Here is a 27,490-nt window from a genome sequence, read left to right on the forward strand (position 1 = left end):
CTCCCAAGTAGCTAGGACTACAGGCGCATGCCACCATGCCTGGCTGATTTTTTAAAACTTTTTGGAGAGACAAGGTCTTGCTATGTTGCTCAGGCTGGTCTTGGACTCCTGGCCTCAAGCAGTTCTCCAGCCTCAGCCTCCCAGGGTATTGGGACTACAGGCATAAGCCCTATACCCAGCCATAACACCCGTTTTGCTGTAAAATTATTGGTAAATTGGAATTAGAAGGAAACTTACTTACTCTGATTCAAAATGAAAAAGAATATCTTCATGAAATGAACAACAGATATATTAATAAATGTCATACATTCAGTAGAAGGTCTGATTAAAAAAAGATAAAGGACAATTGATAGACATAAAACTTCAGTACCTTTTTAATAACATTTCTGAATAATTTAATATGTCCTCTGAACTTACATATACTAAGTTTTTCCATAGGGCATATAGTAAGTGTTATACTCTGAGATTCTGATACCAATTTCTAGTTCTTCCTCATTAAGAAACATTAAAAGCCCGTTATTTATTTCAATTAAAAAAATTTTTTATTATTATACTTTAAGTTCTGGGGTACATGTGCAGAACCTGCAGGTTTGTTACATAGGTATACATGTGCCATGGTGGTTTGCTGCACCCATCAACCTGTCATGCACATTAGGTATTTCTTCTAATGCTGTCCCTTCCCTAGCCCCCTACCCACTGACAGGCCCCGGTGTGTGATGTTCCCCTCCCTGTGTCCATGTGCTCTCATTATTCAACTCCCACTTATGAGTGAGAAAATGTGGTGTTTGGTTTTCTGTCCTGTGTTAGTTTGCTGAGAATGATGGTTTCCAGCTTCATCCATGTTCCTGCAAAGGACATGAACTCATCGTTTTTGATGGCTGTTTAGTATTCCATGGTGTATATGTGCCACATTTTCTTTATCCAATCTATCATTGATGGGCATTTGGGTTGGTTCCAGGTCTTTGCTATTGTGAATAGTGCCTCAGTAAACATACGTGTGCATGTGTCTTTATAGTAGAATGATTTATAATCCTTTGGGTATATACCCAGTAATGGGATTCCTGGGTCAAATGGTATTTCTGGTTGTGGATTCTTGAGGAATTGCCACACTGTCTTCCACAATGGTTGAACTAATTTACACTCCCACCAAGAGTATAAAAGCGTTTCTGTTTCTCCACATCCTCTCCGGCATCTATTGTTTCCTGACTTTTTAATGATCACCATTCTAACTGGCGTGAAATGGTATCTATCTCATTGTGGTTTTGATTTGCATTTCTCTAATGACTAGTGATGATGAGCTTTTTTTCATATGTTTGTTGACCGTATAAATGTCTTCTTTTGAGAAGTGTCTGTTCATATCCTTTGCCTACGTTTTGATGGGTTTTTTTTTTCTTGTAAATTTGTTTAAGTTTTTTGTAGATTCTGGATATTAGCCCTTTGTCACATGGATGGATTGCAAAAATTTTCTCCCATTCTGTGGGTTGCCTGTTCACTCTGACGATAGTTTCTTTTGCTGTGCAGAAGCTCTTTAGTTTAATTAGATCCCATTTGTATACTTTGGCTTTGGTTGCCATTGCTTTTGGTGTTTGTAGTCATGAAGTCTTTGCCCATGCCTGTGTCCTGAATGGTATTGCCTAGGTTTTCTTCTAGGGTTTTTATGGTTTTAGGTCTTATGTTTAAGTCTTTAATCCATCTTGAGTTAATTTTTGTATGAGGTGTAAGGAAGGGGTCCAGTTTCAGTTTTCTGCATATGGCTAGCCAGTTTTCCCAACACCATTTATTAAAGAGGGAATTTTTTCCCCATTGCTTGTTTTTCTCAGATTTGTCAAAGATCAGATGGTTGTAGATGTGTGGTGTTATTTCTGAGACCTCTGTTCTGTTCCATTGATCTATATATCTGTTTTGGTACCAGTACCATGCTGTTTTGATTACTGTAGCCTTGTAGTATAGTTTGAAGTCAGGTAGCATGATGCCTCCAGCTTTGTTCTTTTTGCTTAGGATTGTCTTGGCTATGCAGGGTCTTTTTTGGTTCCATATGAAATTTAAAGTAGTTTTCTGTAATTCTGTGAAGAAAGTCAATGGAAGCTTGATGGGAATAGCATTGAATCTGTAAGTTACTTTGGGCAGTATTGCCATTTTCACAATATTTATTCTTCGTATCTATGAGCATGGAATGTTTTTCCATTTGTGCATGTCCTCTTATTTCCTTGATCAGTGGTTTTGTAGTTCTCCTTGAAGAGGTCTTTCACATCCCTTGTACGTTGTATTCCTGGGCATTTAATTCTCTTCGCAGCAATTGTGAATGGGAGTTCACTCATGATTTGGCTCTCTGTTTGTCTGTTATTGGTGTATGGGAATGCTTGTGATTTTTGTAAATTGATTTTTTTTTCCTGAGACTTTGCTGAAGTTGCTTTTCAGCTTAAGGAGATTTTGAAAAGCCCTTTATTTATCAAGTCAGTTTTTGTTTCGATTCCTGTTCTTATTTTATCAGAATTTGCTGATCGTCTGTTGTGTGCTTTTCCTGCCCTTCTGGGATGTCACAACTTTCTTGCATCAGGGCCTCTGTTGCTATCTTCTTTTGACATATCTTCTTTTCTTTTCCAAGACTTTCTATATCTTCTTTTTAGCTAGCCGTTTACCTTCCTCTCTTACCAACTCTTAATTTCCTCCGACTGTTTATTAAGTATGTGCCTCTCGCATCTCAAGCATTTGAATGAATCAATAATTGTGATTGCAATGTGAAATAAAAGGAAACCCTGAATCTTACTCCTTTATCCTTCATGCGTTTCTCAGACACTGCAATCTGCCTTTTCCCTCACTGCTGTAAAAAGAAAATCAGGTAAGGCTTACCAATCATGACATAATTGCCAAGTCCAATGTAAATTTTTCAGTCCTTATCTTACTTGATCTGTCAGTAGCATTTGACAGTATTTACCATTGATTTAAAAAATGTTCTCTTGTTGACTTTTGTGATAGTTTTATGTATGGTGAAAATAAGGAAATGATCAAAGTCTGGTTTCATGAATTACACACTTTATTGCCATACAAAGATAGTTTTTTCCCCTTAGGTTCACAATGCTTAAAGAGAGGAAGAACAACCTGAACAAATCTCACAGGGAATATACTCAATAGATGAGGTACATTAACTATATAATGAGTGAGTTCCAAATTGTTAAAAGTCTAGTCCAATTCGGATGAAAGCAGGAGAGGATTGAGCTTTTTACGATTAGTTTCTTGGGCTTGACCAACATAGGAGAGATCCATGAAGACACTTGAAGTTCCTGGACACAAGAAGTTGGACGTTAATGTTGTCATGACAAGACTTCAAAGCTCCAAGGCCTGTAGAGGCCTGAACTCTGCTTTTGGAGAAGTAACTGACAGAGTGTAGCCTGTCACAGACTAAGTGTTCAGAATGTCAAACTGTTATGTTTATATGTATTTTGAAGTCCACTAGTTAAGGTCAGTTACTCACATGGGGTCTGAGAAAGTGTAATGTAACATTCCCAAGAGGGGAAGGAGTTCACCCCAAGTACTCACATATGGAGTTTGTATTGGCATTCTCCAGAGGGACAGAACTAATGGGATATATGTATAAGTGGAAGGAAGTTTATTAGGGAGAATTGGCTCACCTGATCACAAGTTGAAGTCTCACAGTAGGCCGTCTGCACGCTGAGGAAGAAAGAAGCCAGTAGTGGCGCAGTACAAGTTTGAAAGTCTCAAAACCAGAAGAGCCGACAGTGCTGCCTTCAGTCTGTGGCCAAAGGCCCAAGAGCCCCCTGGCAAACCACTGGCGTTTAAGTCCAAGTGTCCAAATGCTGAAGAACTTGGATTCTGAAGTCCAAGGGCAGGAGGAAGCATCCAACATGGGGAAAAAGAAGGAAGCCAGAAAACCCAGCAAGCAAAGTTATCCTACCTTCTTCTGCCTGCTTTGTTTTTGCCGTGCTGGCAGCCAATTGGATGATACCAGCCGACATTGAGGGTGGGTCTTCCTCTCCCAGTCCACAGACTCAAATGTCAGTCTCCTCTGGCAACACCCTCACAGACACACCCAGAAACAATACTTTCCTAGCCAACTAGGCAACCCTCGATCCAATCAAGTTGACACCTAACATTAACCATCATAGGGTCCGATAAGACTTCGCATTCTCCTAGGGAGTGGGAGTAGTTGCATTTTACATATGCGATCTGATAGTTCTCATATTCGTGTTTTTTGTTCTTGGTTTTTTGTTTTTTTTTTTTTTTTGATATGGAGTCTCACTCTATCGCCCAGCCTTGAGTGCAGTGGCACAATCTTGGCTCACTGCAACCTCTGCCTCCTGGATTCAAGCAGTTCTCTGGCCTCAGTAGCTAGGAGTACAGGCGTTTGCCGCCACACCCAGCTAATTTTTGTATTTTTGGTAAAGACGGGGTTTCACCATATCGGCTAGGCTGGTTTCGAACTCCTGACCTCAAATGATCCACCCACCTCGGCCTCCCCGAGTGTTGGGATTACAGGTGTGAGCCACCTCACCTGGCCATATTCTTGAAGGGTGGAGGAATACATACATCATTTTAAAGCTGTGTGACAAATTCTCTTTTTGTACTGTCTTGCTCAGTCTCTTAATCTGGCTCCTCTTTCCTCCTCTTCTCCCAGCCCTCTTACATGTTAACAGTATTCCCTAGTGTTCTGATTTGGGTCTACCCCTTCCAAGTTCTGTTCTTGGTTCCTAAAATGTTCTTGATTTCAGCACCTTCTCCTTTTATTTTTTACCTTTGATTGAGGACTGAATCTCTTGCCAACATTAGCCTTTACTGGTCTCTTTGCCTTCAGTTTTTTTTGTTGTTGTTTTGTTTTTCCTGTCTTTCATTTATTCTGTATATTAAAAAAGTGATCCTTTCTAGTAATTAGAATTTAATTAATTAGATTGTGTCACTTTTCTATTTTATGGCTCCCTGTGACCTACAGAATGAAATCCAAATGACAGCATCTGCAAACTCTTATTTCCCACTACTTCACACGTCCTACTTCTGCTCTAGCAGAGTCATTTTGTGCGGGCATACTCCATGATGTTGCATGTCTGTGTACTTAGAAGCTTATTCCTTCTACCTGGAATGCCTTTTACCCTGCATCTCTTGGCAGATTTCTCTTATTCCTTATGGATGTGTCTTAAGTGCTGTTTCCTCCTTAGATAGTTTATGAAGCTGCTTTGATAAAAAGAAAAGCAGGTCTGAATGATAAGATCAGGGTATACATGTTTTGAAATAGTATAAATGGTTAGTAAATGTTGATTGCTCAGGCCATGATACAGACTTCTAAAGATTATAACATTTCACTTGTCATTGATTGTTTAATGTTGAGATGGTGGCAAACAAAAGTAGGTATATGGGTTATAAAACCAAACAGAGTATACGTAATGGCTTTGTGGAGCTTTTCTTCCCCCGCCCCCCCCTCCATTATATGCACACTGGGGATTTATTTTAGTTATTTATTTACCATATAAAGCTTTGAATATTTCTTTGCAACAGGGGTAAGTAGTCTAGAAATTAAAATACCCTTTAACAGAGAGACTTACATATCCATAACTTCCAAATGTGAAAGAGATAGTATAGTTACAGAATTTATTATTTTTTTGGATGTACTTGTATTTTGGGGGGATGCAAATGATGAATGGGCTGTTTTCTGCCTTTGTTTCTCATCCATTTAGAATCTACTGTTATATATTAATTTATCACTTTTCCCCCTATAAAAATGGTTGCCTACACAAATGAGATTTCAGTGAGGTTTTATGGATAATGCTTCTCTAGTGTAGAATCGTTTAGTTAATTTATATAAGTATATGAATAAAAACTGATTGAGAAATATAGTTACCATCTCTGCTTGACAATGGTGAGAAGAGCTAAGTTGGTATGTTTTTAAAATGCAGAATGACTCTTGATTTCTCAGTCTTTTCCACTACAGAGCAAATTTAGTAGGAAGAAGAGATTAGGATACCATCTATAGGTGATTTTATATCAGCGTAAAATATGCAAGGCAATTTAGACTAGTGGTTCTCAAATTTTTCAATCTTAGGACCCCTTCATACTTAAAATGTTTTTGAAGACCTCTACAAGCTTTTGTTTTTGTGAAATAATTAACAGTATTTAACATATTAGAAGTCAAAATTCAAACATTTAAGTATATATATATATTTAAAATAAACTCATTACATTAACGCAAATGCCATAAATAGAATACTATTTTTCAAAACAAAAAACAATTTAGTGAGAAGACTGGCATTATTTTACACTTCTGCAAATTTCTTTAATGTCTGGTTTAATGGAATACAGCAGGATTCCCGTATCTGCTTCTGCATTACATCTTTTGTGATGGATTGTTTCATTTCAAGTATATGAAAAAAAGTTTCACACATGCATGTTGGAAAAGAGGAGTATTTTGCCTTTTCAGATAATTGTGGATATTCTTTTTTGATACTAGACCAAAGCTCAACAAGTGATAGTTTCTTAAAGGTTAGTTGCCATGAATAATCTGAATGTATCAATTAATTTTTTACTCTATTACATTAAAATCTACTGGTTTATCTTGCAGATTGAATGATTCTTTTACCTGTATGTGATTTTGTAATTTTAACTTATTAGTTATTTGGAAAATAATTGATTCATTGAGTTGTATAGATCTTCCAAATGTTGACACATCTCATTATAAGATAGCTAAAGATCACATATGTTGATATCACCACCAGTGTCATCAGAAAAACTTATAGTACTATATTGAGAAGCTGTTAAGCTCACAGAATCACATAAAACTTTTCTCATGTTCTAATTTTAGGGTGAAAACTTGAATTTTATCATTGGCAACAAATATTGTCAGTTATTTTCACTGAAATGGCAAGTTATCTTTTTTATAGTTGAGAAAATGTCTGCCAAATACTCAAGTCTGATAACTCTAGTTTGATAACTCTAGTTTGTATATTAGTCATTTTTTTCAAGTAAAAATTGTGTCCCATTAAAAATGTGCAAATTCAACTCAAAAGTCAGTTACCTAGGTGTTTTTCCTGAGACATCCATTGTACTTTGGATATGCAGTAGACGTGCTTTATATGTACTGCCTATTTCCTCCCACAGAATACTAGAGCACGTACTCCAGGGTAGAGATTTAATAAAATTAATAGTTTTAATGGCTTCACAAAGGACATTCTTTAGTGACATTGGCTTTTTACTGTTATTGTGTGATGGTGAAGAATAAGACTATTACACTAGTGTGATTTGCTACCACTGCCTTGACTTAAGGTAACAGTAGTTTCACCCTCACTGCTTTTGAACCATTGGTGCAAATGTTAACATAGTCAAAAAGGCAAGTAACATATCAGTATAATTATGAAAGTAATTTTGGGCCTCCGAAAACTCCCATGGGTTCATCGACCACTTTAAGAACCTCTGATGTAGACTTTGAAAAGAAGGAAGTCCTCTAATTTCATAATTTCATTTCTCAATACCTGATATACTTTTTTAGATAGAAGACCATTTTTGAAAATCTTTATCATTTTTAATCATTCTGGTTTCATATAGTAAGAATAGCTAGCATTCTATTGAATATTTGTTATATGCCAGCTATAGGTACTATTATGACCTACATTTTACAGATGAGGAAATAAACGCACCACGTGAAGTGCTTAAAGCCACACGCCAGAGCCCAGCTTGTTTTTTTAACTTTTATGCTTCATGTGCAAGTGACTTTAGTTGTTTAGTCTTTGCTACATTGTTTATTCTTTTCTATCTCTATATCAGGAAAGAAATTATATTCCTGTTCTTTTTTTTTTTTTAAGAGACAGTGTCTCACTGTGTTGCCCAAGCTGGAGTGCAGTGGCATGCTCCTCACTGCAGCCTTGAACTCCTGAGCTCTAGTGATCACCAGCCTCCTGAATAGCTGAATAGTTAGTGGTATTTTTTTGAGGAAGCCAAAAACAAAGTGCAGAGTGCTTTTTAAATAGAGATCTTTAGGTTGAAAAATTTTTTTTACATGTATTATATCCTTTAGTCTTTAAAACAATCCTGTGTAGAATACAGAATGGCTAATATTCCCATCTCGTAAATGATAGATCTGACACTAAAGTTTGTGACTTATTAAAGGTTGCAAAGGTACTCAGAGATAGAGCCTGGACTGGAACCTCTACATCTTGTAATTCAAATTAAGAATTCTTTTTGGTATACTGTGCTGCTTGGTATTTTTAAATACCAAGGTCATGGCTGTTGAATACTTTTTTGTTAGAGCCCCTTTGTTACTGTTGCTGTAATGAATTTAGCTGAAACAAAAACCTTGTCTTTAATACTGTTTCTACTTAGAATATTTCTAGTTAGAATATAGTATTTCTTGGGAAGTGAAATCTTGTTCAGATTTTAAAATATTACCCTGTTTAACTGAAAATAGATTGTAAAGCACACATAATTATTTTACAGTTACTAATTACATGCTAATTTCCCTGTAAGTCCAAAACCCATATTTTTCCTGACATAAGTTGTGTTACTTTATGTTGTGGTCTGTTATGCAGAATTAAGCCAGTAAGATCATTTTCAGATGTTTGTCACCCCTAGAACATTTTTCACATTTAAATATATTTATTGCTTGTGAGATTTGGATTTTCTTTTGTGTTTATATTTGTATGTCAAGAAACAAAGGCCTTTGATATAATAATGTGTAAGCCTGTTAGCAATTATAACCATTAAAAACACTAACATCTATCAGTGCTGATGGTAAACTTTGCTTTATAAAAAAGCACATCACAGGAACTGGCCTCTATTTTTCAAGTGATTATAATTTACCATAATCTCCTTTGGTGTTGACGAAAGTGATCTGTAGCCATCTAGTGGGTGCAGACGTCAGTAGGATCTAGGTTTTAGACGCTTTATATAAAAAGAACAGCAAGAAAGTGTGGTGCATGGAGTTGATTTAGAGGATAGAATTAGCAATTCATATGTGTTTTACAGAGAAATTCATTATCATAATTTTTGATTTTTCTTTCCTTCTTTTAAGGCTTCTCATTTCTTTTGGGGATTGTGGGCTTTGATTCAAGCCAAATACTCCACTATTGAGTTTGATTTCCTTGGGTAAGTTAAATTTTATTATATGATTACATTGGTCTCTGCTTTTGTTTGGATTAACATTAAGAATTCACAGGGAATATTGTAGTTATTTGCAATCAATTATAAAAGTTGTATACACTTAGTAATTGGTCTGTGAAGAAATTGCTATAAGCTGTTAAGTGCTCGCAGGATTAGAAAAGTGTCCAGTAGGTGGTGCAATAAACTAAAAATATGTCCTTTGAAAATCTTAAACTTTAAGAAAACCAGCTTAGAGGACTGAGTGAAAATAAGGGAAGGACCAAGTTTTTCAGCTTTGACTAATTTTTTTGTTGTTCTCTTTTCTCACTAGGTATGCAATTGTTCGTTTTAACCAGTACTTTAAAATGAAGCCTGAGGTTACTGCATTAAAAGTGCCTGAGTAAAGAAGAGATTTAATTATTCTCCAGTAGCTGAGCAATGCTTGTGAATCTTTTCTTAAGAAATCCCAAAAAGCCAATATTAGTTAAAATTCTGTTGTTTAATTTGGTTATCTTGCTTTATAAATTATGCCTCTAAACAATCAAATCTATTTTTGAAATAGACTGAATGATGTCAAGAAATATACCTACTGCTATCCGTATGTGGTGGATTAGAAATGTGTTAAATCTGCAAAAGGTATAAAGATGTCAGTTTAATTTCTTTGATAATTTAACCTATGTTGTATGTGAATTATTTATTATAAACTTAGCACGATTCTGTGACTGTTTTTCTCTGTTTCACGTTCGTTGAGTGTAAGCAATGAAAATGTCCCAAATAAGTTTTTTAAGTTTTACTTTAATAAGATTAATTTCAGTAAACATTCTAGTTGTTCAGTGTAACCTTTTTATCTTGATGCATTGTAAGTAAAATGAATCATTTACTCTTGAAATGCCAGTCATTGACTGATGTAGATAATTTAGGATTTTCATATAAAAATAGCTGTTTAGGAAGGTGAAATACATTCACTGTCTCTGTTGGTGGTACATCTTGTTGAATTCAATATTAGAAAGTATTTCTTTTTGGGGTAATATAACTTAGAATTAAATCCCTGTTTCTCTATGTAGTCTGGCAGTATAAATATAAATATTTACCATATAATCTTGGAATAAGTATTAGTTAATGTTACCAAAATCTGTATTAAATAATGTTTTCAAATGCTAAATATGGTCGTTACTATTTTCAGTTTTAAAAATTTTATAGTATCAAATTGTTTCTAACCAAAAATTTCCTTTTACTTCTAGAGATGCTTTATGTTTTTGATTATTAAATAGTCACTAGTATTGCTAATTTTTGAAACAAATACACAAAATTTATCATATGTAGAAATAAGAAAATATTGTTTAGGTTAATTATTTTTTACCTATCCAGAGTCATTCCTTACATTTCAGTTTCATGTTTCATTCCTCACATTTTAGTTTCATGTTTTAGTTTGATTCTATGTTTTTAGACTGATAGCAAATGATTACTTGATACATGTAAGTTCAGCGTTATATGTTGAGGCAGTTATATAATTAAATAAGGAACACTTAGGGCATTGATCTTGTACACTTAAAATCTGACAAATGACAAAATGTGAATTAAGCATAAATAGTCATGGCAGGAGGGCTTTTGTTTATTTCTCTTGTTTTTGTTTAACTGTATTTTTAATTTTGTCTGGTGGTAAGAGGGAGGTAATTATTGTATGGAAAGAAGTTAGATCTTTCAGATAGATAAATAGGCTTCAGGTTTTGAAGTCTGCTCTGTGTAGTTGAGCAGTCATGGTTAACTTTACTTAGAAAATTAGTCTGACAAGCTTTGCACTTCGGTCACATAAGTGCCCATGTACAAAGTTGGCTTACTGGATCTGCATATTCAAAATATGCAACTACAAATTTATCCTCTGAGAAATCTTCTGAGGAGTCTAATGTATTCCAAATGACTTAATATTCTCAGACAAATGCTTTAAAATACTTGGATTATCTCAAGATTTTTGAAGCTAATAAAGTAAATAGAAACACAGGCCATTTTAAATGGTAAATTCTAGTTACATAAATATAATCTTAAAGTATGTTTGTATCTGTAACAGTGTTAGACCAGATTTGGTTTCTACCTCCCCAATGTTATAAATGTTCACTTTTGTTTTTATAAACCATATTACTGTAAGATCAATAGAACTTTGCCTAGTTAAGTGAATGGAACCAATTAAACAACTAGTAGCTTTTTATAATGTTAGTGTGAACTTGAAAAATTGTTTTTGGTGGAATTTTTGTCTGTGGTTAGAACATTTTCATAAAACAGATAAAGAATGTGTAATACTCTTAATTTTTTTTTTTTTTTTTTTTTTTTTTTTGCTTTCTGCCTTCTAAAGTGCAACAGTATATATCTTGTAGAACTGTGGGAGGAGAGAAGATAATTTTTCTACCTTACTCCATATTCTTACTTCAAACTATTTTGAATAGAGGTTCACTGAGCCATTGCTGATAGACTGTGCATAGCTACTAGCTGTCACACTATTGTAGGTTTTTTGGAGAGATTCATAGGGAAGTGAATGTAACCAGGAATAAAGGCTCTCACTTTAGCTCTGGGACTATGCAGTGGATCTTGGGAACAAAATAAGATATCTAATCTATTTTCCCCATTCTGGCTAGATTTTGGTTGTTGTGATGCTCCTACTTCCTGTATAGGTTTTTGGGATCATGGTGCAGGCTAGTAATAGGATTCAGAATTGCTTCCCTTTTATATCGACCATGTAAGGGATTCTAAAGGAGGGTAAATCTCAAAGTGCTCTGAAATCATCCCTCTAAAATCTGTCCTGTGGTGTGCTAAGATGTCTGTTGCCTTTTTATGTTAAGCTAAGGAACTTGAATGCCTTACCTAATAACTCAACTAGTAGTAAGCTCATTTTGTAAATATGAAAATGGCTGTAAGAAGTGGCATTCATGTATATTCAATGTTAGTCAATAGACCATAGTGGCCTGGATGCTTTAACAAGCCAAATTCCGCAATTTTTTTTCCTTTTTTCCCCTTCATACTTGTATGATCTCACCTGACCAGTGATTTCTTTTCCTCCTAACCCCATGCTACCACCATTTTCTGGAAATCAAAGAGATGTGGTAGTAAATCATACAGTACACACGATCATCTGAGATCAATATGAGCACAAAACTCATCAAGTAGGTCTGCCTGGAATGTATATAAAAAATGTAAATAAAAATTTGTAAATTAGTGTGAACTGTATCTTGCATATGAGACTGTGTATTGTTTTGCATTCTCTTCCCTTTTGTAGAAATTTTTCTGTAAGGAAATGATTCAGCTTGTTGGTTTTAGAGTAAAAATAGCCAACAGTTGTGGCTACACAGTGAGATCACAGGAACTGGAAATAGGGTTTGTCGGCTTTGGTTAATGTCAGTACTCATTTATTTAGCCTCTCAGTGCTTAATAAGACTTTTCTTTATTTTTTAGTTAGCCGTTAGGTTTTGTGAGGTTAGATTCCTGGAAGCAGTGAATTTATACACTGTTATATTAATAGAGCTCCGTTCTTTGAGTCATGATTCCAAGCTAAAGGAAATTAAAAATGTAATTTAATAATTTCCTATTTTTAGGGTTGTTAATTTTTTTCTACAAAAAAACCTTGAAATTTTAGATATCCCAATGTGAATCTAATTTCCATATATACAGAAATTAGACAAATAATAAGTCTTTAGTTCAACTTAAGCATATCTCAAATGACTTCTCTAAATTTAAAGTTGATCATGATAGGATCATAAAAGACAGAAAAGACTTAAGTAATCTTGTAATGACAATTATTTCCATTTTTGCTGAACTAAAAATATTTAACTTCATAAATATGTTACTACAGCTTCCAGATTTAAAGAAAAAAAGTTTCCCCCACTCTCAATTAAAAGTTAGAACCCTCCACTTTTAAAATTATACAAATATTTCTTTTTTACATTACACAGAAGCCTTCTGTACCATTTTACGAATTTCTGTCTTCATAATATAAGTGAAAATACTGTCATTTCAATTTTCTGCTTTAAATTGTTTTTAATAAGCATTCCAAAGTGATACAGACTTAAGCTTTTAATCAATCAGTCATTCAGTTGATAGACAAAGTTAGCGATGCTTTATGCTAGGAAACTTGTTGACAGTAACCTGTGCGACTTTATGCAGAAGACAAATGCTAGTAATTATTATGCACAGAGGAAAAATCATTTTAAGTATGTGGTAAAGCAGCTTCATCTTTCAAAATTGATTTGCTCTGGTTTTTCTTTAGTCCATTAGATTCCAGAATGTCCTTTTACTGGGAATTTAGTTATGTATTAAGATAACCTGTTTTCAGTTCTTTTTGAAAAGAAGACATTATTTATATTGAACCACCTTATTTTAAAATTTTTAACTTTTATATACCACTTGTGTGATTCCAGTGTCATGTCTTGGGTTTGATGTCGTTGGACAGAAAAGTGTATCAATTATTTTAAATGAATTTTTCCCCATGTTTGAGGCTTAGTCTGTAAATGTGTTGCTGTAACAGAAAATACTTGGGTATGCATTACTTGAATACTTGAAAACTGAAATTAATAAGATGTATTACATAATGAATTAGATTTCTCTGAACAGTTTTTACACTGAAAATCTTCATTTCTGGATTGCAGTTTGAAATGGAATGAAGACCTGAATTATTTGGGTAGAAAAAATTATGATAGTGCTTATAAGAACTGTAAACTGTTTTAAACTATTTTGTGTTTGACGCATCAAACTTCAAGTTTTTTGTAAGTTTCTCTCCTGAAATTTTCTTTCTCTTCTATACTTTATGCACTTACTATACTACTGATGTAATAAAAGAGCAGGGTTAAAAATATTGTATCTGTATTCATTGTGAATCCTGTAGCTTTTCTAGTTAACAAAAAATCGCTTTCTAAAATACTCTTAATCCCATTGTTTTGGTTAACATCTTACCCATTTGTTGTATTTCAAATGCCATTAATCATTTTAGTACAACACCTATGTTTATAAAAATTTGAAAACATTACATATTGTATTTAAAACTAATTAGTGAAGAGTAAGAAAAAAACTAGCCAACAGAATTGTAGGTGATGCATTAGTTAAATTTCAAAACTCATAATAAAGGAACTTTCAGAGATTGGTTGAAACCCAGTGGTATCCCTGTAAATTAGCTCCTGTGACTGGAAAAGACCCCAAAAAGGCAGTAGAGGAGATTAGTGTTTACTTGCTGTGGTTGTGGTGTGCTGCTACTTAATTATAGGTAGTGACACACTGAAATTCTTATTTGTCCAATAATCTGAAGTAGTTTCCTATATTTATCTGTACTAAATTGACTATAAATTGAGTCTGCAAAGAGGAAACTTTTTGACTGTACTGTATTTAGGAGCCTTTGTACAGCTTGGTCAAATTTCCATGATATGAAGTATTTGAGTTTTAAAATATACTGTTATTAAAAGGAAAAAGACATGGCCATTATTCCATGTGCTTAAATGATAATTTCCTTATTCAGTTTCAGAAGAAAAAGAATGAAATTGGGTAACTGTCATTGCGTTAGCTTTATGTTGAATTGGGAAATTGTGGCATAAAGCTTAAATTCGTGTTTATCAAATGTGAACCATAGTAGTATAATGCTGCTTTGTATATAATGTAAGTGCTACAAATAGTCTCAGCACTGAAAATGTATTGATACCTCTTAAATGAATGCAACTTTTGATGTAGGTGTTTTGCTATGCCTCAGAAAATATCTGTCTGAGAATTTGTTAATCTGTTTGATAATGAAGATACTTCCTGTTTTCTTGTTTCATATTTTCATGTTCAAAATTTAAGTTTTACATTTTTACTACTGTTAATTTAAATAAAATTTGTTCTGTGGATAAAATGAGGTTGGCAGTGAAGAAAATTAAAAACAGCCTCATTCATGTAACTGGTTAAGTAAAAATACATTTTCACTATGTGTTCATAAACTTTTAATGAAGCTGTTTGTCTTTCAGTTCAAATATAAGTGATGTTTAGGCTTTATTTCTGTTAATAAGGCTTTTTACCATTGATTAAATGAAGGAATGTATCTTTTTGAAGAGATTTATATTCTGTAAATAAAAATTCGTTGTAACAATAAAGTTGAGTTCTAACTACAGTGTATTCATAAATTTTATTGTTACTTCAACTTATTTTTGAGGTTTTCCTTGTGAATATCTGCAAACACAAGACTTTCCAAAGTTAGTGTATAAATGTATATGTGGAGTGATTCTTTGAATTCTAGTTTTTTGTTTTCTGTTTTTTTAGTTTTATATACATTAAAAAGTTTTGAAAAAATGTTTACTTTTGGAAAAATTTGGTTGAGATGAGACTATGGAATATTACATAACTTATAAACATTTCTGTTTACCTAGTTTAAAAATTCATTATTCTTCTAACTATTATGCTTTGTGTCTTCACTATTCTTTGGAACCAGAGTTGGGAAACATAGAGGAATAAAGACACTGTCTGAGACTTAGCATCTTATGGTCTAGGCAGGGATTATCCATTTAAACAACAAACTCTTAAAATTATCAGATAGTGTGATAGATGATCTCTGCCTTCAGGAAATGTTTATTTGCCATGAAGATCAGTTGTCCATAACAAAAATAGTCATTAATTTGTGTTTGTGTGTGTGGTTTTTGGTAGAATGTTTTCCAGTTTGGGTTTGTCTGAGACTTTCTGATGATTAGCTTGCAGTTATGTATCCCCAACTGGGGATAACATCAACAAGTTCCTCATCTCACAGATGATACCTTAACAAGTGATGTGTTCTTGTTAAGGTATCACATGTGAGATGAGGAACTTGTTGATGTTAATTTTGATCACTTGGTTGAAGTATTGTTCTGTGTCTTCACTGTATATTTCCCCCTTGCAACAAATAGGCAGTCTGTGGGAAGGTGCTTTAGATTGAGTATTTTGTTCCCCTACAAACATCCACTGTTTTCCTCCCCTGATTTAGCAATACTTGATGATTCTTACCCAATCCAGTCTTTATTACGATGATTGTAAAATGGTGTTTTAAAAATATTGCTATGTTCTCCTTTTCTCAGCATTTTACTGAAAGGAATTGTCCTCTTATTGGCATCTAACTACCTACCTACCTACCTACCTATCAATCATCTATCATCTGTTTGTATTTTAAGTATAGACTCGTAGATTTCTGTTTTATTCAGTGGATTATAATCTGCTATTAATACTATATTTATTCATGTCATTGTTAAAATTGTCTGAGATTGGTCTTGAGGGAGCCCCTCAAATCTGGTTCCTTTTGCTATGTTCCCAACATGTTTTGAGCGCTTACTTCCTGGCAAAAGAAGACATTCTAGACTCATCTTGTACCTTTTCTGCCTCAGCCCTGGAATCAGCCATTTCTCCAAAGAACCTAGAGGTTCCATTTAGGAGGAATGGTGTTTAGAAACTAAGATCTGAGAACTTGGTGTGCTTATTGGCTCCTGAGATATTACTGATCCATCCTAGGTTCTTTTGGCTGGCAGAGCAAGAAAGCACGCACACACACATTTATATACAAATCTCTTTTTTGGAGATTGTGAGTTCATACTGTTACCTCCAATTTCTACACTTGATCTTAGCCAAAAGGCCAAGTTATACCTCCAGCTTCTAACTAGAATTTTTCCTTGCCTCTCTCATTCATATTTGTTTCTCCCTTTACCCACTATGATTACATTTGTGTGTGTTTTTAAGAATTCCACATAATTGATGTGCTTGTTTAGAATGTGTCACATTGTGTCCGAAATTGGTGGGTTCTTGGTCTCACTGACTTCAAGAATGAAGCCACGCACCTTTGCAGTGAGTGTTACAGTTCTTAAAGATGGTGTGTCCGGAGTTTGTTCCTTCTGATGTTCAGACGTGTTTGGAGTTCCTTCCTTCTGGTGAGTTCCTGGTCTCACCGGCTTCAGGAGTGAAGCAGCAGACCTTCCTGATGAGTGTCACAGCTCATAAATGCAGTGCATACCCAAAGAGTGAGCAGCAGCAAGATTTATTGCAAAGAGTGAAAGAACAAACCTTCCACAGTGTGGAAGGAGACCCAAGTGGGTTGTGGTTGCTGGCTCAGGCAGCCTGCTTTTATTCCCTTATCTGACTCCACCCACATCCTGCTGACTGGTCCATTTTACAGAGAGCTGATTGGCCCATTTTACAGAGGTGATTGGTCCGTTTTGACAGGGTGCTGATTGGTGTGTTTACAAACCTTGAGCTAGACACAGTGCTGATTGATGCATTTACAATCCTTTAGCTAGACACAAAAGTTGTCCAAGTCCCTACTAGATTGGCTAGACACATAGCACTGATTGGTGTGTTTACAAACTTTGAGCTAGACACAGAGTGCCGATTGGTGCATTTACAAACCTTGAGCTAGGCATAAAAGTTCTCCAAGTCCCCACACAACTCAGGAGCCCAGCTGGCTTTGCCTAGTGGATGCCGCGCTGGGGCTGCCTGCAGAGTTGCCCGCCAGTCCTATGGCACGCACCCACACTCCTCAGCCCTTGGGCGGTGGATGGGACTGGACACTGCTGAGCAGGGGGCGGTGCCTGTCGGGGAGGCTCGGTCTGCGCGGGAGCCCACGGGGTTTGGGGTGGGGGAGGCTTGGGCGTGGTGGACTGGAGGTCCCGAGCCCTGCCCTGCGGAGAGGTGGCTGGAGGCCCGGCGAGAATTTGAGCGTGGCGTGGGCAGGCTGGCAGTGCTGGGGGACCCAGCACACCCTCTGCAGCTGCTGGCCCGGGTGCTAAGCTCCTCACTGCCCAGGGCTGGCGGCGCTGGCCGGCGGCTCGGAGTGCGGGGCCCGCCGAGCCCATGCCCATCTGGAACTCGCGCTGGCCCGTGAGGGCCACGTGGGCCACACGCAGCCTGGGTTCCCACCAGTGCCTCTGCTTCCACACCTCCCGGCAAGCAGAGGGAGCCGGCTCTGGCCAGCCCAGAGAGGGGCTCCCACAGTGCAGCGGCGGCCTGAAGGGCTCCTCAAGCGCGGCCAGAGTGGGCACTGAGGCCAAGGAGGTGCCGAGAGCGAGCTAGGGCTGCCAGCATGCTGTCACCTCTCAATATGAGAGTGTATAAGGTGTTACTATACAAATTACTAGTTTTTGTAAACTTTAATCATTTGATTAAAGTGGTAACTGCTGGATTCCTCCCAATTCTGCCTCTCCCCCATCCCTCTTTTTCCCCCGTTTTTCCCTTTTAATTAATATCCTGTGTGTGTGTGTGTTGGGGGGGATACTTTGAAACTATGCAAATCTTTTGCCATTAATTTTAGCATCCATTGGTGGGTTTTGTTTGCAACAGTTACGTGTTTGTCTAACATTGATTTTCCATTTCCCTCTTCTACATTTGGAAATGGGAATTTTGCTGGAATGAGGAGTGATACCTTTTTTTTACACTTATTTATTTAACTATATCAGTAAGGACTCAGATACTTAATTCACTGGCCTATAATCCACTACAATGATTTTTCTGGCCAAGTTGTTGACCAAAAAATAATTTTGTTGCTCAAGTTTTTCGTTTTGGCAATTGGGAACTTTTTCAACTTGGCTTGTGTATCCTTTCAACATGCCTATGGTACAGGAATTGAGAAGAAATTACTGATGCAGATAGTGAAGGTATGGAAGTCCTCAGTAAGGTTTTCCTTTTAACTAGGTGGCTCACGCCTGTAATCCTAGCACTTTGGGAGGCCAAGGTGGGTGGATTGCCTGAGCTCAGGAGTTCGAGACCAGCCTGGGTAACACGGTGAAACCCTGTGTCTACTAAAATACAAAAAAAATTAGCCACGCGTGGCAGTGTGTGTTTGTAGTTCTAGCTATTCGGGAGGCTGAGGCAGGAGAATGGCTTGAATCCAGGAGGTGGAAGTTGCAGTGAGCTGAGATTGGGCCACTGCTCTCCAGCTTGGGCAACAGAGCAAGACTCCATCTCCAAAAAAAAAAAAAAAAAAAAAAAAAGAAGAGGAAAGCAGCCCCAAATCATTTTCCCTTCTAACAAAGAGCAGCCTGTAAAATTGAGCTGTGGACATAGATGCCGGCAGTTGTGCCAATCACGTTCAAATCATGTTCAGAATGGCAGCAGGTCTTCCCTTCTTTGCCAGCCACGTGTACAGTAAGGAGCAGATAAGATGGTGCCGGCCAAGGGGAAAATTCATTTGCGTAATAAGCTTAGGGTGGGGCGTCCAGCATTCCCAGGCAATATGATGGAACCAATCTATTAGCCCAATCTGTTAGCCCTACATAAATCAGACACTGCTTCCTCAAGCCAGTCTATAAAATCCGGACATGGGTGGCTGGCTGGCCTTTTCCTCTCCAAAGTCCCTTCTCTCTCACTAGACAGCTGTTTTCCTTTCTCTTTCTTCTGCCTATTAAACCTCTGCTCCTAACGTCCTTGTGTGTGTCTGTGTCCGAAATTTTCATGGCAGGAGATGACAAACCCCAGGTATTTACCCCAGACAATGTAGCCACTTCACCTACATAATTATTTTTATGTATTTATTATTTCTTAACCTCTAGCACTTGCAGTGTAAGCCTACATAATTTTTTGAGCACTTCTTTTTCTAACAACATGAGGTGTTTCAGGCTCATCTTGTACCTTCCCTGCCCCAACCCTCAATTCAACTGTTTCTTCAAGGAGTTCTGATCTCTCTTTTTTTTTTTTTCTATTTATTAGAGAATGGTATTTAGAAACCAAGACTGGGTGCCAGGTGTGCTTATTACTACTGAGTTCTTCCTACTTCCTTTTTTTTTTTTTTTTTTGAGATGCAGTCTTGCTCTGTCACAAGCCTGGAGTGCAGTGGTGTGATCTCAGCTCACTGCATCCCCCACCTCCCAGGTTCAAGCGATTCTCCTGCCTCAGCCTCCTGAGTAGCTGGGAGTCCAGGCGTACGCCAGCACGCCCAGCTAATTTTTGTATTTTTAGAAGAGATGGGGTTTCATCCTGTTGGCCGGGATGGTCCCGATCTCTTGACTTTGTGATCCACCTGCCTCAGCTTCCCAAAGTGCTGGGATTACAGGCATGAGCCATTGCGCCCGGTCTGAGTTCTTGCTACTTCTACATTCCATCAGTGGACATTTAGAAAATATGTGTAGACTAATATACACACACATGCCTCTATACTTTTTCATCCATGTTTGTAACTTTATTTTGAACTCATTTCAAATATACAGAAAAGTCACAAGAATCATTTAGTGAACTCCTATTTTTTCCCATGTCCTCCAATAAGTATTTGCTTTGTTTTATCATTTTCTCTCTACATCTATAATTTTGGGAATTATTTGAGAGCAAATTGTACACATAAATTTCCTTTATTCCTCAATTCTTGTATTTTCTAAAAACACTATTCTGACCCCCATTGTTTCTGATGAGCAGTTGATCATTCAAATGAATGTCACTGTATATAGTGTGTTATTTTTTAGTGACTACTTTCAAGATTTTCTTTTTTCATTTGGTTTTCAGCAATTTGATTATGGTATGCTTTGGTGCAATTTACTTTATATTTATTATCTTGCTTGGGTTTTGAACCATGTGAATCTATAAGTTTATGTCTTACGAAATTTGGGAAATGTCATTCTCATTTTTTTGTCCCTATAATATGTTAAAGTTTGATATGTTGAAGTTCCTGATCGTTATGTGATTCTGTCAATTTCACCTTGTATCTCTTGTAGTTTTTACTTCATATAGGTTGTTGCTGTGTTATTTGGTGCATAAATATACATAATAGTTAGATGTTCATTGTAAATTGTGGATTTTACCATTGTAAGGTTTCACTCTTCATCTCATTTAATACTTTTTGGTCTGAATTCTACTTTGACATTAGGATCATAACCCTCCATTCTTATTTCTAATTGCCTGGTTTATATTTGTTCATCCCTTTAACTTTTTTGAGTTACTGTTTTAATGTGTCTCTTATATACAACATATAATTGAATTTTACCCTGTGAGTCAATTTGAAAATCTTTTCATGTTAATGTACCCATTCATATTTTTTGTATGACTGATATGTTTGGACTCAACTCTGGCGATATTAGTCTGTGTTAAAATTACTATGTATTGTTGATATTTGTTATTTTTTCTGTATCTAGTTTGTCTTTTTTGTTATTTTGCTATTTGTATTCAGGAAGGTTTGTATTTTTGTTGTAGTGGTTTTCTTTATATAATTTTTATAGGGTCCTTTTCTCTTATTTCGCTTTTCCTGTCTTGCCTGTCAGTTTTAAATTCTATCCTCTGACTCCAACTTATTTATTGAACAGTCGGTGATGTTACTCTGCTTCTCTCTCTCTCTTTTTTTCTCCCATTTTATTTAATTAACATTCTTTGAATGTTAGAACATATGACATTTCCATACAGTCAAACAGTGTCCCTATCCTTGTTTCATTCTTACCTCTACAATTATATATATTAAATTCAATTTTTTTTGTTGTTGTTCATACTTTTCTTCTAATCCTCTTGACCAGGTTAACTCTTACTCTGTTAAAACTTTTAAAAACTGTTTTGGAGGTAAGACTTTCAGAAAGCCATCTTTCTGCTTCGTCAGCTGTCTCTTTTGCCCCCATCCCCTGTCTCAGTGCAGCGCTCTAGGAACACATTCCACAAAGCCATGAAGGCAGGATTTGATTTTGGAAAGAGATAAAAACTGGAAATAATTGTCCAGAGTAATTTTTTTCTGAGTTGATATGATGCTCTCAAATCTGCATTGAAGAACCTATACTTCATTACTTTGGAAGTTGTGAATTCATTTTTTTTAACCACATGTTTCTACATGGTTTGGTTTTAATTTATTTAGTTGAGCCTGAATTGAGGGGGGAAGTATTTAAATACTTTGTAAACTGCCATTGATTTCCTAGAGGTGACTAGAATTCAGTCTTCTTAGAATCTAGCATCCCAGCAGCTTTTGAAGTCCCACCAGTGTATAGTCTTAAAAATGTGTGTCCATAACATTGAAACAAGCATTAAACGATTTTATCTCTCTAGATGAGTTTCAGCCAAAGCCTATAATTGTTTTTCTCAGACTATTGCATGGAAGTCAATAAAACCCAAGCCAAGCATTATTGACTTTTGATACCAAAACTTTATTTTTAAAAATGGCTGTCATTAAGATTTGGCAGTTGCATTGCTTTATCTCCGCTGACCCCTTCTGTCAATGAGATTATCACAAAAGAAGAATCAGCCTAAAACTCTTCTTTGACATATCAGGTATTTTTACTGTGTTATTTTAATTCAACACAACATCATGAATCAAACATTCTGGTTTCTACTGCAATTTCTCTAGTTGGTTTTCTCGACTATATTATGAATCTTAATAGTTGAAAAATTATTTAGACATAAAAATATATATTTGGTAATTAGTTGATAAGGATTGCCATTTTAATCTTCTCACCACATTTCAAGAAGCTAACTAAAACTGTTCTCTTTTTTTTCTAGTTTTGTAACACTTGGAAAGAACTTAAAATGTTATTGTGCTTCTTGCAGGTTTTCTTTTTTCTTTTCCACATGGAAACAGAAGGCTGTGTAGGTGCCTTGTAAAAGTCTGTCTTGGTGACATCCCTAACAAGAACCTAAAGCAATCTTGCTAAAAAATATTTCTGAGTTACAGCTTTGAAATATTCTAAAACAGAAAATTCATTAACTGGAAAGAAAATGTAACCATTTGACCACATTTGCCAGTGAATTTCCTTCCTTGGTTAGAGGAGGAGAATTCTTTGTCTTAAATTACCTGGCAATTGTATTGACAATATCAGCTCATTTACCTTTGCAATACAAATGAAGGATGAGAGGGGGGTTGCTAATTGCACCAGTCTTTGTAAAGGTTGAATGGAATTTAGTTTTTCTCTTGTTTATCCTTGTCAACCCTGAGTATCTCACTGGAGACAGAAAGTAGAGGTAAAGTATTACATAGTAGAAAGGCCCTGTTCAGGTGGCAAGAAGTCCCATTAATGACCATGGGTTTTCTGGGCTTCATATTCTCATTTATAAAATGATCAGATTAAATAAGATTAGCCCTAGAGTCTTTTCTATTTCTAAAATGCTAAGATATGGTATCCAAAATGTTGCCAGAAATGGATCCCAATCCAGAGCCCAAGAGGGTTCTTGGACCTCACACAAGAAGGAATTTGAGGTGAGTCTATAAAGTGAAAGCAAGTTTATTAAGAAAGTAAGAGAATAAAGAATGGTTATTTCACAGGCAGAGCAGTGGTATAGGCTGCTCGACTGAGTATACAGATATGCTAAACAAGGGATGGATTATTCATGAGTTTTCTGGGAAAGAGGTGGGTAATTACCACAAGTGAGGGTTCCTCTTACTTTTAGACCATAGGCGATAACTTCTGGACATTGCCATGGCATTTGTAAACTGTCTTGGCACTGGTGGGAGTATCTCTTAGTGTGCTAATACATTATAATTAGCGTATAGTGAGCAGTGAGGATGACCAGAGGTCACTTTTGTTGCCATCTTGGTTTTGGTGGGTTTTAGCTGGCTGCCTTTTCGCTTGGTGTTTTATCAGCAAGGTTTTTGTGAACTGTATCTTGTGCTGACCTCCTAACTCATCCTGTGACTAAGAATGCCTAACCTTCTGGGAATGTAGCCCAGTAGATCTCAGCCTTGTTTTACCCAGCCCCTATTCAAGATGGAGTCACTCTGGTTCAAACACCTCTGACAAAAATCCTTCTAAAAATTTTTAATATACAAATTGAGATCTTCTAATATTTTTCTATTACTGTGGTATATCACTTCTTTCCCTTTGTGCACCCTACTTAAAATTTCAACTCACTCAGAAGATACAGGAGCTGACTGTCGCTGTGGCTGTGCTGTATCGGAACACTGCCTACCTTAAGGAAAGAACTTTGGAGGTCTCAGGCTTTGAATTTTATTTCCTGTAGTTTTTTCTCTCTGAAATCTTATATAGGCTTTTCCTGAGTAAGGGTCATTTTCACTTAGCTTTTTGATGGTATAATGGACTGAATGTTTGTGTCCCCCTTCCAAGTTCAAATGTTGAAGGCCAAACCCTCCTTGTGGCTGTACTTGGAGATGGGGGCCTCTTAGGAAGCAATTAAGGTTGGATGAGGTCCTTAGGGTGGGGCCCTGATAGGATTAGCGTCTGTATAAAAAGAGACACCTGAGAGCTTCGCCCTGCTAGGATTAGCGTCTGTATAAAGAGAGACACCTGAGAGCTTCGCCCTGCTAGGATTAGCGTCTGTATAAAGAGAGACACCTGAGAGCTTCGCCCTGCTAGGATTAGCGTCTGTATAAAGAGAGACACCTGAGAGCTTCGCCCTGCTAGGATTAGCGTCTGTATAAAGAGAGACACCTGAGAGCTTCGCCTACACGCTTCCCCACTGAGGGAAGACCATGTGACTATACAACAGGAAGGTAGTTGTTTACAAGCCAGGAAGAGAGCCCTCACCAGAAACCAAATTGGCTGGCGCCTTGATCATGGACTCCTGGGCTCCGGAACTGTAAGAAAATTTGTGTTGTGGAAGCCACCCAGCCCATGGTATTTCGTTATGGCAGCCTGAGCAGAGGTGGTAGCTATGTGGACAGTTTTTGGACTTCTCTATTGTAAGTACCTGAGGGAAATGTGTGTATGTTGAGGGTGGTGTTTAGGGATGCAGTATAAAAATATTTTACAAAGTACTTCCCTTTCTTGCTTTAGCTGAGAACAGTGTTTCTCCTGAGGATACCACTTAGTCACAGTCCCCAAAGGCTGTTCATTCTTTCATTAATCATTTATCTAGGGCTGAGGCTTGTGGATATTTTCTTAGCCTCCCACTGCTATCTCTTGCCAATAAACACTTGCCCTATGCGGAGTTCATGAGACATGGCCATGTAACACCCAACTTGTCTTTCCTATTGGTCATTTCCTATTCTGGTTGCTCTTTCTTCCTCATGAAGAGCTTTAGTATCTCTGAATCCCAGTCTCCTACTGCTGCTATCACCACAGGCAGCTTACTTGAGAATGACCCTTCCAGCAACTCAGGCTGAAAGCGCCTGGGCCTCTTCAAATTTTAGTATTATTCATTTCCATTTTATATCAACATCCCATGTGGATAGTCATAATCTGTGCCTAACTCCTGACCTGAAAAATGCATCACCACTGAAGTGTAAAAACTAATATCAATCTTTGGCTATGCTTTTCTATTCATCCAGCTTTTTTCATTTTTTTTTTCCTTTCACTTCACCTTTTCTTTTACCTCGTAAAATCTCCAGACTTTGGACCGCATTCATTTCTGTCCAAATATCCCCCCTTTGGCCTATTATTATGTAGGCTAGACTCTGGCATGTCACCTCAGGTCCTCCTGCCAGCATCTTTAACTACTGGCCATTACCATTTTTCTCTCACCAATATCCAGCCAATTCTTAGACTTGGATATATCCAACCACTCCTGCCTCTGGGGCTGGCCCTGCCCCGTGACAATTTTGCTAGTTGATGCTGTTGTACCTGAGCGAGTTAGAAAAATGCCACACTTTGAGACGAATTAATAGTCCTTTATTAGCCGGCGACCGAGAGACGGCTAACGCTCAAAATTCTCTCGGCCCCGAGGAAGGAAGGGGCTTGATTAACTTTTATACCTTGGTTTAGGAAGGGGGCGGGTTGGGCGGTGGGGAGGGTCTAGTTGAAACAATTTTACAGAAGTAAAGTAGTCAAAAAGTTAAAAGGATAAATGGTTACAGGAAAGTAAACAGTTCCAGGTGCAGGGGCTTTAAGACTATTACAAGGTGATAGACCCGGGGCTTTGGGCGTTATCAATCGGACGAATTCCTGGGAACTGCGGATATAGCTTGCCACAGTATCTTATCAGTTAATTGCATTCTTGGATGTGCTGGGAGTCAGCTTGCACAAGTTACGTCCTTGAGGAAGGGGCTGCCAGTGAAAGAGCCAAGTGGAGTCTGTCTGGCTCTGTTAGCTAAGGGAGTGTCAATTCAGGTGGAAACAAGGCTAGGTGATTAAAGGAAAGGGAGTCTAAAAACAGAGTTAGTAAAAACCAGGTTGGGCACTACAATGCTCCCCAATTCCAGAGTCTCCATTGTAGACTGCACCTTTAAGAGCAATGGACTTCATTAATACGGAGCTGAGTTAATCATACTCTTCTGTTAAAGCCATGTTAACATTGTTTGTCCTTGCAAAGCACTCCTAGTCAGTTTGCTCTCATTTATTTATTCATTTCCCTTTTACCCATGCCTTCCACTCTTGTTCCACTGCTCCTAATAAGCAGCCATCTTATTGTATATATTTTGCAATTTGAATATAGTTTTACAATATGTGTATAGTTTTATGGCCATTTAAATTCACATAACATTAGTTATTGCATTCTTATTCTCACTTTTTTCACCAAGCACTATATTTTCAAGATTACTTTTTGTAGCTCTGTGAATCTGTATTTCTAAGGTGTTTCTGATAGCTGCACAATCATTTAGTTTCCATCGAAAACATTTCACGTATCCTTTCTCCCAGTGATGGACACTCAGGTTGCCTGTAACTTTTCGACACCACAAACAATAATGTATGTCCTCATCATATATCTCCTAATGGACGTAAGTTATAATTTTACTGGGATATAATTTTTTATTATCATTGTATAATGTTACTAAATATATCTGTTATCATTATTTCATAAGGAATGTACCACATAACAATGTTTTGGTTAATGATGGACAACGTATATAATGGTGGTCCCATAAGATGATAATGGAGCTGAAAAATTCATATGGCTTAGTCTGGATAATCTTGACCCTGTGTTGGCCTAGGCTAATGTGTGTGTTTGTGTTTTAGTTTTTAACAAACAAGTTTTAAAAAAATTTTTAAATTGTAAAAAGCATATAGAATAAGGATAGAAAGAAAAAATATTTGTGTACAGTTGCACAATACGATTTATTTAAGTATTATAAAAGAGTCAAAAAGTTAAAAAAGTTTATTCAGTAAAAAAGTTACACTAGGCTAAAGTTAATTTATGATTGAAGAAAGAAAAATATTTTAAAATACATCTAGTGTAGCCTAACTCTACAGTGTTTATAAAGTCTACAGCAGTATACAGTAATGGCGTAGGCCTTCATATTCACTCACCACTCATTCACTGACACCCAGAACGACTTCCAGTCCTGAAACCTCCATTCATGGAAAGTACCTTATACAGGTGTATTACTTTGTATCTTTTGTACTATATATTTACTGTAGGTTTTTAATGTTTAGGTATATTTATATACGCAGATACCACTGTGTTCCAATTGTCTACAGTATTCAGTATAGTAACCAGCTGTACATGTTTGTAATCTAAGAGCAATAGGCTGTACTACACAGCCTAGGTATGTAGTAGGCTGTATCATCTAGGTTTCTGTAGTTACACTTTATGATGTGCACACAATGAGATTGCCTAACAATGCATTTCTCAGTACATATCCTCATGGTTAAGCAACACGTGACCTACTTTCACT

The 27,490-nt window shown here is 36.7% G+C and overlaps 1 protein-coding gene and 1 long non-coding RNA gene across 18 annotated transcripts in view, besides 1 other annotated feature; both read left to right on the top strand.

Annotated features, from left to right (window-relative positions):
• ETNK1 (ethanolamine kinase 1) overlaps positions 1-15,190 on the top strand; it is a 65,495-nt gene extending 50,305 nt beyond the window's left edge. The window contains exons 7-8 of one of the 2 annotated variants that reach the window (NM_018638.5): positions 9,008-9,081; positions 9,407-15,190. In NM_018638.5, coding sequence (NP_061108.3) covers positions 9,008-9,081; positions 9,407-9,479 — 147 coding nt within the window. In that variant the 3' untranslated portion in view covers positions 9,480-15,190. The other variant, XM_017019580.2, reaches the window with a different exon arrangement.
• Positions 24,040-24,581: an enhancer, noted in NCBI's record as "OCT4-NANOG hESC enhancer chr12:22852449-22852990 (GRCh37/hg19 assembly coordinates)". NCBI's record gives its function as "activates a minimal SCP1, AML or CMV promoter by ChIP-STARR-seq in primed H9 embryonic stem cells {active_cell/tissue: H9 hESC(primed)}" and the evidence as "EXISTENCE:reporter gene assay evidence [ECO:0000049][PMID:30033119]".
• The window catches only part of LINC02955 (long intergenic non-protein coding RNA 2955), a 491,729-nt gene continuing 488,622 nt past the window's right edge, over positions 24,384-27,490 (top strand). For all 16 annotated transcript variants that reach the window (NR_187514.1, NR_187512.1, NR_187515.1 and 13 more), the window contains exon 1: positions 24,384-24,619. This is a non-coding gene — a long non-coding RNA (long intergenic non-protein coding RNA 2955). The remainder of the gene's footprint in view (positions 24,620-27,490) is intronic.

The sequence above is a fragment of the Homo sapiens genome, chromosome 12 (assembly GCF_000001405.40).
Source record: "Homo sapiens chromosome 12, GRCh38.p14 Primary Assembly".
Taxonomy (NCBI): domain Eukaryota; kingdom Metazoa; phylum Chordata; class Mammalia; order Primates; family Hominidae; genus Homo; species Homo sapiens.